General features: G+C 35.1%; 1 protein-coding gene across 57 annotated transcripts in view, besides 1 other annotated feature; it reads left to right on the top strand.

Annotated features, from left to right (window-relative positions):
- MEF2C (myocyte enhancer factor 2C) overlaps positions 1–16,260 on the top strand; it is a 186,989-nt gene that overhangs the window by 54,776 nt on the left and 115,953 nt on the right. The gene's annotated exons all lie outside the window — the stretch shown is intronic.
- Positions 14,632–14,761: an enhancer, noted in NCBI's record as "active region_22765". NCBI's record gives its function as "activates an Ori minimal core promoter by ATAC-STARR-seq in GM12878 lymphoblastoid cells {active_cell/tissue: GM12878}" and the evidence as "EXISTENCE:reporter gene assay evidence [ECO:0000049][PMID:35858748]".

Below are 16,260 nucleotides of genomic sequence, written 5' to 3'. Positions count from 1 at the left end.
GCCAAAATCATGTGTGCTGGCTCTTAGATATGTGAATTTTAAGGGTTAAGCAGTTGGAGCATGTGGATTTATGAATGCTTTTTATTTTCAAATTAAATTATTTAGAAACAAGTAAATTAAAAATACTTTAAAATATTTTAAAGTATTTGGCACAAGAATTTTTTTTTTTTTTTTTTTTTGAGACAAAGTCTCACTCTGTTGCCCAATCTGGAGTGCACTGGCGCGATCTCGGCTCACTGCAACCTCTGCCTCCCGGGTTCAAGCGATTCTCCTGCGTCAGCCTCCTGAGTAGCTGGGATTACAGGCAGGCGCCACCATGCCCGGCGAATTTTTGTATTTTTAGTAGAGACGGGGTTTCACCATGTTGGTCAGGCTGGTCTCGAACTCCTGACCTTGTGATCCACCTGCCTCGGCATCCCAAAGTGCTGGGATTACATGCGTTAGCCACCACGCCTGGCTCACAATAATATTATTTTAAGAAGTATTTTCCAATATTGAAGAATCTTTGTGTCATCCAAGAACACATACTACTTACTTCTACATCACCCGTTAAGAACTCTAAATACCTTATTCATTAGTATAGAAAATCTTTTAACTCTTTCACAGAGAAGAATGACATAGGCAAATGGAATTTGTATCCCCAGGAGTGTCAATTTTTTTACCAAAATCCAAACTTAATTTTCATCAGTGTGCCCATTTTTATAATGTGCTTACCCCAGTTGCAAATCACTAGTTAACAGTGTGGAGTGAGAAGTTATACTACTGAAGATTTCAAAATGTGCCTCAGCTTATCTACCTTATTATGACTAGAATAATTATAAGAATTAAATAATATGCATAAAGCACTTAGCATATTGCCTATTATCATTACTATGTAGAGAGATAGAAATGTGTGAAAATGGGAGTTTTTACCTTAAGGATGTAATTTTTCATCCGTGTAAGATTACCCAATATTCTATAAAATAAGAGATGTTACATAACTAGAAAGTTGTAGCCATTCAACCATTTTTCTGGAACTAGCTTTATTATCCTCTACTAAAATGGTTTTGGCCACTATAACTTTGGTCTTTCAAATACAGATCATTATTAAGTTTTTAAATCCAGCAGATTCTCTCCACAATGTCTTTCTGCTCTTTACCTTTGAGGAGTTTTTTTAAATGGCAAATTATTCTATATCATCTTTTTAAAAGTTATGACAATTAAAGATTTAAAATCTCAGCTAAAATATTATATATGGATTTTTAGTTACATTTTATGCCCAATCGCTAGTTGTAAGCATAGTTGTAAGCGTGCTGAATGAAGTTTATTTGCACTTTGTGTATTCCCACTTTTTAGTTATGTACTTTATAAGTGGAATTTATTTGACTCTAACTTTTGTAATTTAGATAATCATTGTTTGTGTTCAAATTCAAATGTGAGGAACTTTGAATGCATTTGTGATCCAAGTCATTACCAAAAATTGTGTAAATATAAATGAGATAAACAAAATAGAAATGGTGGTCTCATATGAAAGGTATAGATTGGTGTCTGATGTTGTATCCTAATTTTATGTACCAGATTCACATGTTAAAATTCTATCTAGAGGTCCTGGGATTATTCTCTCTCCCTTTTTTTTAACATGTGTTTTATAGTCAAGTTACTAAGTGAAAAAAAAGAAAAGAAAAGTGGTAATAGAGGAAGTTGGCACAGAGAATTGTCGCTGTACTCAGCTCTTTTTATCTTTTTCTAAATATAGTCTTAAAATATTGTCCAGGTCAGCTGATGTAAGCAGGGAAGTGCTTCTTCATGTCTTCTTTCTTTCCCAGTCATTTCAATAATGTTTTGGTGAATTAAAGTATGTAAGTGAAACAAAGAAATCAGTGCTGAGTTCTGATAGCAAATTGAAAATTGAAATTGCTAAATTTCCAGATATTATAATAGATTGCTAATCTCAAAACTAGGACTACATTGGTATTCTAGGGCTAAAGTGATAAATTTTTAATAGAGATGTCTCCTACGAGCAAGTCTTATTATAACATACTAGAATATCATTTATTCTTTCAGGGTGTGATTTATTCTATTTAAATATAAGTCCTGTAAAGAAGATGTGTTAATCTGTTTTTACTCTACATAAATATGACTGCTACTCTCTAGTCAGTAGATGTATTCAAAAGCCAATATGTCTACACTCTCACATTTCTTCTGTAAATGATGAATAATGTTGATAAATGAAAATTACAAATCCGCAATAGAGCTTAACTATTGAATACTAAATCATTCTGTTGCTAACTCCATGTTCCAGTGACATTTTTGATATAAAAAGACGTCATTCCTGCATTTAAAAAATATTTTGTGCTTTTGCAGCAATATAAGCAAATGTACATTTGAAAGAAAATTCACAATGCAGCCACAAATAATTCCCTTTAAGATTCAAGGTGCCATTTCAAAAATGGTTCAATTTTCAAAGTAGAATATTTAAAACCTCTTTCCTGCCAGACTATATCCATTCCACGTGTTTGGTACAATTAAAATAGAAGAGTTGGTGGAATGAAACTCTTCCATCTATATTTTGGAAAAACATATTCACTCACCTCAGTTTGTCAGTGTACATTTAGAGGCTGGTCATTATGCAGTAGAAAAAAGAAGAAGGCAGCTCCAACTCATGTGACTGACATACTGAATATGGCCATTAATACAACTTGACAGTGACCTTGGCGGCATTACAGGTAATCTCCCTGCAGGGATAAACTGTGTTTGAATGATATTTCTACCATGTTGAGCACAAAGAGATTTCTCCTTGGAACTTTACTGCTTAATTTTCTTTTATGCTAACAAAGACATTACAGAGTGATTTTTGTAATGATTTTCTTTTTCCTTTTGCTCTCTGAAATGACAGTTTACTACATGGTATTGCTGCTGTCATTTTTCTGTCATTATAGGGAAATGCCATATATTTGTAGCACTTTCGTAAAGTGTTGAAGTAGGCCAGGCATGGTGGCTCACGCCTGTAATTCCATCACTTTGGGAGGCAGAGGTGGGTGGATCATCTGAGGTCAGGACTTCAAGACCAGCCTGATCAACATGGTGAAACCCTATCTCTACCAAAAATACAAAAATTAGCCTGGCGTGGTGGCGGGCACCCGTAGTCCCAGCTACCAGGAGGCTAAGGCAAGGAGAATCGCATGAACCCGGGAGGTGGAGGTTGCAGTGGGCTGAGATTGCGCCACCGCACTCCAGCCTGGGCAACAGAGCTAGAATGCATCTCAAAAAAAAAAAAAAAGACTTGAAGTATATATTATTTTTATTATAGGAGTAAATATGTAATTGAATGTTATACCACTTTTAACAAAGTTCTAATAAGCTGAAAGTACATATCAAGAAGATATAGGCTGAAAATTCAATGTTAAGAAAAATCTTTTATTATGTATTTTATAAAAATTATCAGCACCAAAATTAGCTGGGTGTTGTGGCGTGCACCTGTAGTCTCAGCTACTTGGGAGGCTGAGGCAGGAGAATCACTTGAACCCAGGAGGTGGAGGTTGCAGTGAGCTGTACTCCAGCCTGGCGACAGAGCGAGACTCCATCTCAAAAAACAAAAGTTTTCTGCACCATAAGTTAGTGTTATTACCATTTAAAATTTATTTAGATTATGTAAGATAAAAATGTGTATTTTTATCACCAACTTCTGAGATGTTCACCATAGAAGACTCATATGCATTATTGCTTGTTTCCTACTTTAGATAAGCTTATCACACAGGAAGGGAACTGTGATGCGTAAGATTCAGGTAAATGAATGGAAAAGATCATGACAAATAGTGAAAGTGTACTCTTCCTCAAAACTTCTACTGCTGTTGTAATCTCAGATTTAGTGGTATGTCGATACTGAAATGACTACAAAAAAGAAATTTCACATAATGAAAGTTTGGCTTATTAAAAAGCACTTAAGTAGGTCGTAATTTCTTACTTACAGTTGCTTCTACGTCATATTTCAATGCAGGAAATGAACAGTGACTATAAAGGAAGAGTTTTTTCCATAATGTGGATCCATTTAAAAACTTTTCCTTCCTGAATTGTTTCTGGGGTCTTTTGGCAATTTGAAGCAGCTGTTGACAACAGCAATTATAGGCACCATTGACACGGGAGGATATGACAGTTGCAGTTAAGCGTTCGTTATTTGTAATGTTCATTCTGGCTTCAACTTTTACATGCAGTTCAAATTAATTAACATGGAATTAAAACAGGTTCACTGGTCCTTGACGTTTTTTAGTATCCTATCTATTGTAAAGTATTAAAAAGTTGCTTACAATCAATGGGTAATTTTAAATGCACAAGGTGAACTATTTTCATACACAGAACTCTTAAGAATCATTTGATAAGAAAGGCATAGACATTTATTAGATAAGACATGTTCAATAAATTGCAGAACACGGCATTTCTCACCAATTCCTCTATAAATTTAACCTTTAGCAGCACATTTTTCCAATTCATTGTCAAGTTAATCTATATAGTCAGAGTTCCTAATTATGTTTACATTACTGACATACACCAAATGGAAAATTAGAGATATCTTATCCCTAGTTATAAGTTGTAAGTAAATACTTGCTGGTATACTATAACACTATTTAAAATTTTAACCATGAGGAAAAGAGTTGTTTTTGGAATGACTTTAAATAGAAGTGCATTAAGAAATATAATTTGAATCAGAGAAAAAGTTAGATTTACTTAGTATTTTTGGTGTACTGTGTTAAAACTACAAATAGCAGTATATTTTCCCAGTTTTCAAAGAGTGGTAACAAAAAACCAAGCAGAAACAAAACAAAAACCCTTCTCTAATCTAATAAGAAATAAACTTCGAGGTGTATTTTTAGATAAAAGCTCTGATCGTGGTTGTACTTGAATTTGATATATGTATGTCACTGTCAACTGATTTCGGACTTTGACATATAATATTTTAAAACAACATGATAAAAATATTTCCTTAGGCCTTTTTGAGAACTTGGACTCTGGAGTCAGCCTCCCTTATCTCAAAACCCAATTTTGTTGCTTACTTGCAGTATAGAGTTGGACAAGTTGTGCATTTTTTCAATGCCTTGATTTCCTCAACAGAAATATAATATGAAGTATAATCATGAGATTACGAATTTGCCTGAGATTAAGGTCCAATTGAAATATAGAAATAACATGCCTGGGGCATGCTCATTAAATTTTACCACTTTTACTAGGATGATTTAAAATTGTTTCGCAGGGGTGCGATGGCTCATGCCTGTAATCCCAGCACTTTGGGAAGCCCAGGCTGGTGGATCACGAGGTCAGGAGATCAAGATCATCATGGCCAACATGGTGAAACCCCGTCTCTACTAAAAATACAAAAAAATTATCCAGGCGTGGTGGTGCGCACCTGTAGTCCCAGTTACTCAGGAGGCTGAGGCAGGAGAATCGCTTGAACCCAGGAGGCAGAGGTTGCGGTGAGCCGAGATTGCACCACTGCACTCCAGCCTGGGTGACAGAGCAGCAAGACTCCGTCTCAAAAAAAAAAAAAAAAAAAGTTTCACAGGAACAAACAATCAAACACAAATTAAGACGTTGTTGCCAATTTTCAAATTTATTTCTTCAGATTTTTTTCTTCTGTGTTTCCAACTTGAAATAGAATCTGTTAACATGATAATTTTCTGGATTAGAGAAAGTCATAGATATTTGTTTCAATAGATCATAGCTAATAAAAATTTTAATTAGAAATAGAAGAAACATATATATTACATAGTTAACACCTCTCACTTTGTTGTGGAGAAATTGAGTCTTAGAAAAAATGAATAAGGTATAAAACTTGAATTTCAGACACATGAAAAATGTAGTTTAAATGTAATTGTGTAACATAAATTGTCTGCCTAATAATTGGTCTGCCTCATTTTTGCAATGTCTCAATAGAATTCCAAAGATAGATTGATTTTTTTAGCTTAATTTCAACAATTTGTTGGTTCACCTTTGAGGGTTTTTTTTGGGGGGAACCAAATTTAAATAACACACAAACAATATTTTACGTGATGTAACATGTCTATCCATCTCACATGGATAATGGAGTAAGATACCCAAATAGAAATAGAAATGCTTTTTTTTTTACCATAGAATTAAAAAAAAAAAAAAGCAAGCAAAATACACATATAACTAGAGAGATTTTTATAAAGCCCTTCATCCCTCCCAAAAATGAGATAGGAAAAACGTTAGGGTTGACAAGATACCACCCCCTAAATATCAGGATGTTCCAAAATAACTCCGTCTTTTGTAGCTCCCAATCAGTAGCCACTGATGATCTCTGTCTGTCATACCCTCCTTCTCCTTCTAGAGCAGGACTGAAGGAGGGGCAGTGTGTTTCTCTGGGGAGATGGTTGTGGTCAGCATCATCACGTGCCCTCTCCAGTCCAGACATTTCACTGTTCCAGAATAGAACCCACGCTTAATTTCAAGGATTCTGGAAAAGAAAAAGTTGTTTTTCTTCACAAATTATTGAGATCCTAACCCAGAATGTCATATTTTTAAAGAAGATTATTATTATTTAGATTCTCATAAGCACATGAAAAATGTATCTAGGAAGTTGACATACTGGCAGACATCTAGCTACACATAAGAGGGGTTTTCTCCTTTATCTCACCTTTTTCCTACTGCGAATTTTTTCAACATACTTAATGAAAGTTAAAATTATGACAAGGAAACTATCACAGTATTTCCCATTTCTTTATTTACTGTAACTTTGTGGCTGTTGAATGAATTCTCAGGAAATTTTTTTTCACTGTATAATTTCTCTTTTTTTTTTTCCATATTGTTGACGTTTGTAATGGCACTGTTTCTAATCCACTATCTTTTATTATATGTTAGAGAGTCATTGATTACTTGCTTTCATCCTCATATAATAGAAATATCTAAATATTACAGTCACAGATTCCACAGACATGTAATATCAGAAAACATGAAAGTGAGTTAGCTTTCTTGTTTTACTAGATTTTTTTTCTTTCAGTAAAGCTAGGAAAATATTATTAATTAATTAGTTTAGTTTTCATCAAACCTGGTGATTGGCCGGATTCTTAATATTGTAGCACCCAAATACAGGTAGGAATTAAAGATCTGAAGAAGCCAACAATAGGAAAGATGAATTTTAATGGATCAGATTTCAAAGAACTTGTAAATATTACAAGATATTTCTTATAAAATATACTATGTAGCATAGAGGATTGCACAAATGGTCAAAGAACACTTCATCAGAAATCACAAGCCTTAAAAAGAAGTATCTGGTTGACTAAAGAAAGATCTGTATGAGGAATGGAAATCTGAATGTATTATGAGAATAGGAGAAATTTCAAATAGTATAAAAATAAAAGTTCTAAGAAATAAGGCTTAAAGTTGGATAAGGAGAATCAAAATTAAAAGATGATTTTTATGAATTTGTTTAACCAAAAGCAACAACAAAAGATAAAATAAAACGTAGCCCATTTTTAATGTGCTATCAGGAGTGTGTACGTTCCACCAGGGCATGAAATTTTGTCTGTTTTATTCCCTGACATATTACATAGAATAGTGCCTTGAACATAGTAGTGACTCAGAAAAAAATTGTTGAGTGAAGGAATAAATGAAATGCTTCTTTGCTTTATTTTTCACCTTTATTATGCAGCGAAATGAACACATGCTTGTAGCCACATACATGAAATGTAATACAAGTATGTGTGACTTATGGAATCCATTGATACTAAGAAACAAAACAAATTTCATGGAACTCCTCCTGGAAAGGTTTGACTAAAGCCTAAGATCATTTTTTTTTCTTTGCTTCTTTTTTTCTTCTTTTTTTTTTTTTTTTTGAGACAAAGTTTTATTCCATCATCCAGGCTGAGGTGCAGTTGTGCAACCACATCTCACTGCAGCCTGAAACTCCTGGGCTCAAACGATCCTCTGATCTCAGCTTCCTGAGTAGCTGGTACTCCAGGCATGCGCCACCACACCCACTTAATTTTTAAATTTTTTGTAGAGGCAGGGTCTCACCATGTTGCCCAGACTGGTCTCGAACTGGGCTCAAGTGATCCATCTGCCTCAGCCTCCCAAAGTTCAGGGAGTGCAGGTGTGAGCCACAGTGCCCGGCCCTAAGATCATTTCAGTAGCAGGAACTATTTTAACATAATGGCATTACGGGGCCATAGGCTGTTAGTCTTAAGAATTTTTGAGTAAAGACTAGGAGTTAACTATCACACTGATAACATTTCTTAAATGAAGGATGACGCTGGGAACCACAATTAGTAACTCTCTTATTTGCAGACTTAAAAGTGTACAAGGAAATATTGCCATGAAATCCATGTGTTATTTATCTTTAAAAGTTCAGGGCGTGAGTATTAAGCAACATAGCATCATATAAGAACTGGTGCTATGAGAATATTTTCATCTTTGTTAATAAAGTGTGAAGGAAAAAGGATAGGTATAATTTCAACTTTCTAAGGCTTTTGATTTTCTTCCATATGACATCCTCATCCATAAATTGGGAAAATATCATCTAAACCACACACAGATTTTAATGGTAGCTAAAGGAATAGTGAATTAAATAATTTAGTCATTACATTTTAAATGCTAACAAATCCTGTATAAAGAGTGCTTGAGGTCTGGCCCTTGAAAGATAGGAATTCAGCATAACCTTGGTAAACTAGAGAAGTGGTCAGAAGTCTTGAAGCCAAGGAGAAAAAAAAACAAACTCTCTAAATACAAAATGTGGAAGAGTTGGCTAGAAACAAATCTGGCAAGGGAAAAATTACAAAATTGAAATAAGTGAAAAGGTAAACATTTACTTTAAAATTCATGCAGAGTGTGGATAAATAAAAATATTTATTTGATAAGAATATACAACAAAAGCACTTTTCAAGGACTATGTATATTTTTGGACTCCAGAGATCTAGGCAAATCTGATGTGAAATGATGAGCTGCAAAGATGGCGAAAAAATAAAAACCAGCGTAAGGAAAGATTAAAAGAACAGACATAAAGCAATACACAATATTGAAGTGTATGACATGAGGACGTGATCACCAAATGTTGTTCTCTGTACAAAGGACAGAACAAGAGGAGTGGACATAAAGTATTCTGTGAGGGATTAGCTATAAGTAAGAATTTCCTGAGAGTGAGAGTTGTGAAACATCAAAATAGGATACTGAGGAAGGTTATGTTGCTCCTTTTCCGGAAGGCCTTAAAAATAGGAGAGGTGGAATCTTTGTGAAATAATTTGGGTACGGTATTATCTGAAGGAGGGAAAAATGATATGACCTTGCATAACTCTTGCCAATATTAATATCCGGTGTTTCTACTCTTACCTTAGATGAATGGAAAATACAAATATGTATTTCTAACCAAAAGAAAAGATTTTTTTCTCTTTTTTGACATGGCAAAATTTATCATTTTCATAAAGATTCATTTTAAGGCAGTTGAAATTTCCAAGTCCATTCTGGAATTCTCCATAGTAAATTTAGTGAAACACAAAATATTCATATTAACTAATTTATTTCAAAGGGACTTGGTAGAGGTTTTGTTATGCTTATTGTTTTTCTATTTCATACGATACAAAAGACAAATACTCTTATATAATTTTGAAAGTTAGAATCCTCAGGATTGTGACCAAATAATAATTTGGTATGTGAACTAGTTACTTGATGGAAATGTCCGCTTTTTTAGCATATAAGAGTAATATGCACACTCTTTCCTTTTCAGAACACTTATTACTGGACCCACAAACATACCTGAGGGACACGGACATAAAAATTATCCTAGAGGTGTCTTCACTTTGAAAGGCAGTATTTGCCAACAGATTCGTTCTTACTGAATTACAAATCTCAGAGATTTCCTGTTTACCAGAAGTCCTCTTGGAGTGCATGGGATATAGAAGCAGCCATTTTGAGCATTCGCTTTGCACCATCAACTGCCTAGCATCTGAAATTGAAGTCAGTCTTACATAGGTAGGTAGGTAGAGATAGATAGATAGAGAGAGAGAGAGAGAGAGAGAGAGAGAGAGATAATGTGGCGTTGTTGCCTTATGGAGTTTTTGAATGGTTCTGACCTGTTCTCATCAACTACTACAATAACATATATAATTATGTAAGTGAATATAGATGTACTATATATGTACAAACATAGGTACATGGTGTTCTGCCTATGAAAGTAGGAAAAAAGTCTGACAAATGCTGAATATATATATACACACACGATTACTTCCTCATGCTGTAGGCTCTGATAGAGCAAGGCTACACAATACATTGTGAAAAAACTGTCATGTTAACTTCTATAATGCACCAAAATGTGCAGTATTTTCCAACAATTATAAATATATCGCCAATTATGTCAGCTGTTCTTATACAATTAGTATATTTTATTAGGCGTGTGTCTTATAAAGTTGAAAGCCGTAAAATTCCTTCTAAAATAATGTACCTAAAGAGCTTGAATTGCACAATTAAACTCAGAGCTCTAAAACACAAAGTATTCTGAAGAAGTAGGTAACTGTATAAAATTTTGAAGTGGAAACTTCCCTGTAAATAGAAGGATTTGTAGTAGACCATAATTTGAGGAGATAAGGAGAAGAAAGAGAAAGAGCATAACGAGAAGGAAAAAGAGGAGTGGCAAGGGGAGGAGGGTAAGGATAATGGCCAGGGTCATACCAGAGCTGGTTAGGTGTGTTTTAGAAACCTACTCAAGGTACTTTGAAGGAAAGCAAAATGACTGCTTCAAGCTTTGGGGATGAGATATCTGTGTAATTCTCATCTGTAATTCTCAGATGAGAATTCTGTGTAATTCTTAACTTCATCATAAGTGAAAATGACTCTCCTGACCCATTATCAGGAAGACAATTCTTTTGGGTTTCTTTTTCCGGGAATTGTGAAGAATATATACTGATTTATACAGTATACATTTACCTGGTTTTCCTTGTGAACACATTCATTTGTAGAAAGTAGAAAAAAAAAAACCAAAAACAGCTGCTGATGATCATCCAGTAAATTATAATAGTAAAGACAAATATCTAACTTACATTCTATTCCCCTGCTGGCACAGGGAAGTAAACTCATTTTTGCCATCAAGAATAAGAAAATGTGAGATGAGTTGAAGAACACTCATTTTAAAAATAATTTGTAGATTCCACCAACTCCTGAACATCACATTTTCTACATAGAATTTTAAGTTTTAAGTACTCCCTTGAATATTACTTAGCAGCATAGAGAAGTAACAGAGTATGTGATTCGATTCTCTGAGTGTGAGACTGGATTGATATATTGATCCAATATTGGTATATTGATATATTGATATTGATTATAGCTCTAACACTAGCTGTGTGACCTTGGGTAAGTTACTTAACCACTCTGTCCTCCAGCCTTCTTTTCTGTAAAATGGAAATTGTAATAGTGCCTTCCTCATAGGCTGTTTTGAGGATTAGAGTTAATATATGTAAAGCTTTTAATACCTTAGTATTTTCCTAGCTATTATGTATTTATTAAACTTCTAAATGTGATTAGTGGTCCAAAGTGCATAATGAAACCTTAGTCTTAACTGTTTATATTGCTTGAGGCTGAGGTGAACATATCCTTCAATATTTTAAAATATGGAAGAAAACAATTCTATTTATCCAAACAATAACTTGTCAATTTATTGTTTCTGTAGGATGATACTTTTGTGAGAATCATTCCAACCCTCATTTTTGTTTTGTTTTGTTTTGTTTTCCTCCTTTATTGAATGCATACCATTTAGGAACTTGAAAGGGGTCTTAGAGACTGAACCCGGCTCCCTTTTTATGTCTGAGGATAATGAGACTTAAAGAAGTTGACTGGCCCAAAGATATGCAGCTAGCGAACCCAACTGAGAGTCTGACTCCAAATGGAGCTTTCTTTCCACTGTGCAGTATTGCTTTGCGCTTAGTGCTTTGCGGTTTGGAAACAAATTGCACTCTTTAATGGCAAAATAATTTATTAATACTTTTACTTCAAGTGAACAGCAATTTTCTGCACCTGATCTTATGTTTGCACTTTTTTTATAAAACTGAAAAAAAAAAGTTTTCCATTGTTTTATCATGTCTTCAGCAATACTATTGTATTTTCCTTGTGCCAAGCACTGAGCCAAGTATTGGTCTGAAGTATTTCAGCACTGCAGTGTATTCATTGGTCAATGGGAAGAAGCTTGTTATTTTCTTTAAAGCTAGCATTTCCAAGGGATATCTGAAATATATTGGGAAATAGTCCAGATTATGACATTCAGCATGTAGAAGAATATGAAAAGTCCTATAACAAATAAATCAGTTTTCCAAATATATTTGATTTGATTTCCTGACTTTTTTTTTTTTTTTTTTTTTTGAGAAACAGCTTGTTAAAATCTTAGGAACCAGTAATCTCTGGAATCCACTTTGGGGAATGCTAATTTAGGCACTTTGGGATCTCTAAGGAAAGGAAAGTCGTGAGCTTGCCTCCACCCGAGAGTGCTTTCTTTTAGAGTCTAGGTTTGAGAGAATCAGGCTAAAATAGGATCCATTTTAGTAACTTCTGATCTATAGTACCTGATCTTTTTTACAGGGGAAGCACTGTAATACTTTCCGTTTAGTGTTATCTGCCGAGGATGACTTGGGCTATCCTTGAAAACAGCCTGGGACAGAATGTGTAGACATGCTGAGATAAGGAGCCTCCTGCTAGGCCTTCGGCCTAGAAACTGTCTCAGCTCACTCTGGCCCAGGGCAACATCCCTCTGCAGCGTGCCTGTCCTTGCCCTGCCTGGATTGTATGGAGGAAACATTTTGCTCGTCTGAGAACACCTCTATTCCTAGCTCTTTGACAGTTTCACTTTCCATATCCCCTCAGTTCCAAACATGTGGAAAAAGAGATAAAGAAAGGTGATGAAATGAAAAACTGGAGTGGGGAATGCTACAAGTAGAGAGGAGAAACTCATATTTCCATGTCTGGTTTGTATGCAGTCATGACTGGGTTTTGGAGGGTGAAGCAAATGTATCCCAGAGGTCATCCTACTAGATAGACAGGGAGGGAGGTGAGAATGCAATGTGAAATATTGGTTAGCACTGAGAAGAAAATCAAATGCAATTTTTTGTTATAATATCTATACCATGATACATTTAGAAAAGAAAAATATAGTTTTTATTTTTAAAAAACTTTCAGATTTATGTTTCTTTTGTAGGGCATTTGATTGATTGTAAATGAAAATCGATAAGTGTTCATTTAGGCTTCATGGTAAATTATATAACTTACCCTATTTTAAAACTGATAAATTATGTTCACCAAACAGGAAATTAGAAGAAATGGTTTGGAATAGAGAATCAAATCTATTTATAACTTCCTCCAAAAAAGAGGAGGGAGAATTGAAAATATATACCCCTAATTCCTTAAGGCATAGGAAATTTTGACCTTTCCTTAAAATACTATCATTTGTCATTAGGCATTTCTGTTTCACAACCTTAAAAATTAAAGTGGGAGCCTGTTGTCCTTTAATTTTCTATTTATTAGAATTTATAATCCTTCCTTTTTTTTTTTTTTTTTTAAGATGGAGTTTCTCTCTTGTTGCCCAGGCTGGAGTGCAATGGTGCAACCTCAGCTCATTGCAACCTCTGCTTCCCAGGTTAAAGTGATTCTCCTGTCTCAGCCTCCCGAGCAGCTGGAATTACAGGCACCCACCACCACACCTGGCTAACTTTTTGTATTTTTAGTAGAGACGGGATTTCACCATGTAGGCTAGGCTGGTCTCGAACTCCTGAACTCAGGTGATCCACATGCCTCGGCCTCTCAAAGTGCTGGGATTACAGGCATGAGCCACTGCGCCAGGCCTGTATTTTTTTCTTAAAAACGCTTTCATTTAAAATACTAGATAATTCAATTTGTCTATTCATTCCAAGTTGGAAATTAATCTGTTGGGCTTGAGGCTACACAGCTTAATCTATAGGTGGGGATGTCCAAAGATACATGAATATTTCCAATACTGTGAGACACTGGGATTTTCAAATACTGCTGACATCTTAATCAAAGCTCTGCTGATTACTTGGGAGTTGGGTCCTTTGAGAGATGAAATAAATCAACCTAGCCCACTGACAAGTTACATTAGTACGGTTGTAAGATTGTTTTTTTCTCAAATTTTAAAAAGTGTGATTTTTATATAATTCTATATTTTACACTTGCAGAAATTTTGCATTGTATTTATCAGATTCTTCATGGTGTTATCCATAGTTAGCATTGTGAAATGAAAAGAGGTGTTTCAACCAGTGGCCATTGCCATCATGAAATACTCACATTTCAAGGGAAGAGGGATGCTTTTGGACTCAATTGATGTCAATTTAGAAACATTTTGCATTATGCTATATTCCTAGAGCTTCAAAGTATTTACAATTTTTATAAAATTATATAATATCAGTGAAGGAAGCAAGTTTACACAATTAGTGTATGAAATTGAGTTGTATCCATCTGAATTTTTACAAATGAGTGTGGTTTTGTCTTTTATTTGAGCCTCACAACCTCATAATAGAATGTGTATGTTGTTACTATTCCCACTCTATAGAGAAAGAGACTGGGGTTTAGAAAACTATGACTTGGCCAGGCTTGTACCACCAGTGACAGGCACAGTGACGGAGTATTCATCCTCCAAATAATGTCTGACTCCATTGTGGATTAGGGCTTTCCTCAAACGTCATCTCCTCAAATAACCCCTCCCTATAAATCAGCCCAATAGATAGCCACCTCTGCCCTTCTCCACTTCATCACCCCTTGGTCCATTCCACTGCGATATTTTCTCTATAGCACTTCTGTATTTAAAATCATCATATTGGTGCACTTGTGTGTTGCCCTTTTTCCCCTTAGAACGTAAGCTTCATGAAGACTGAGACCTTCTGTTTTGTTTTCAGTGGTGTCCATGGCACGTAGCATCATGCTTGACAACTTCATGTCTCTGTGACTGATTGAATTTTGTCATTGATATCTGTGATATTAAGCATCATGATTTTGGCTCATGGTATACCCCATTACAGTGACTTAGCCAGGGTTTGATTCCCATGTACTCCAACCTGAAATCTACAATCAGAATACACCAAGTATGTTACATGTAATTGGTCTGCTCCAAAGCTGTGGCAGGTAGCGTGGACTGCATTCTGTTAGAGGACCTGAACTCCATGTGTGTGCCTTAATCTCATTTCTGACATTTAACTGTCACCCTGCCTGCCCACCACCCTGAGAGAAGTTCTGAAGTATTCGAACAGTGTGTTACACAGCCCCAGCATGTTTTACAGTGAGCCAGGGCAGTCATGGAGAGGTCTCTTGTTCTGGAGTTTTGCACAGATAAAGGGAGGATATAGTTTTGAGAGGAATGCTATAACTACAAAGTGCATCCTGAAGGCCATTTAGCTCACAATGAAGGTCTGTGTTTTAAAATAGCACTATAACAAAGTAACTACAGAGTTTTGGCAAGGGCTTCAACTATTTATAGAACTAAGTAAGGAATAGTAAATAGTGCCACAGTACCCAGTTCTCCCTTGCCATAACCCCAAACTTATAAGAAGCACTATAATTATATTTTTCTACTTAAAAAAAATCGTAGTAGCCATTATCAGTTTAACCATACGGAAGCTCAGGCTGAGATTTCTTTTTTAAATGCATAGTTTTGATTTTCAGCAGCTGCACTGGGTCTTTAATCATATATTATCTTTATGAAGCCTTTTTCTAACATATGTTAATTGGCTGTTTTCTGTGACAAATTATGAGCTCTTACTTTGATGAGGTTCAATTGCAATCATGTTGGAGTCGAGTACGTAGAGTTTCCACCCCTGCTGGCTCCTCAAACCACTACAAACATCCGCACGTCACTACAGTGCTGAGTAATGGCAGGATTTGGGCTGGCTGATTTCTCTACAGATTTTTTTTTCCACAGGATATTTTCAGCTTCTTTGTACTAAATCTGTTGCAGGGTTTGCCCTTTTTAGCAGAAGCATGCTCTAAAATTAACATCAAATCTTATTGGAGATTACTATAATACATGAGAAATATTTCATAATTCAACATCCAGTGTCTGTACTGCTTTGCTAAAATTTTAGTACATTTATTACACATTTTTAAAAGTCAGTCAGTTGTAAGGCTGGTAAGTATTTTCTATATCATCAGCATTTTGTAACAAATATTTTGAATTTTCCTCTTGAGAGGGATACAGTTATTAAGTGAATAGATGATCAGGTATATATTTAATTATCATAAAGAAAATGCACATAATGTTTTTCCTGGCATTACCAAATTTATCACTATGTTAAA

This window comes from Homo sapiens, chromosome 5, assembly GCF_000001405.40.
Source record: "Homo sapiens chromosome 5, GRCh38.p14 Primary Assembly".
Taxonomy (NCBI): domain Eukaryota; kingdom Metazoa; phylum Chordata; class Mammalia; order Primates; family Hominidae; genus Homo; species Homo sapiens.
Note: the sequence above shows the minus strand (reverse complement) of the source record. Positions and strands in the feature narration are given on the sequence as shown.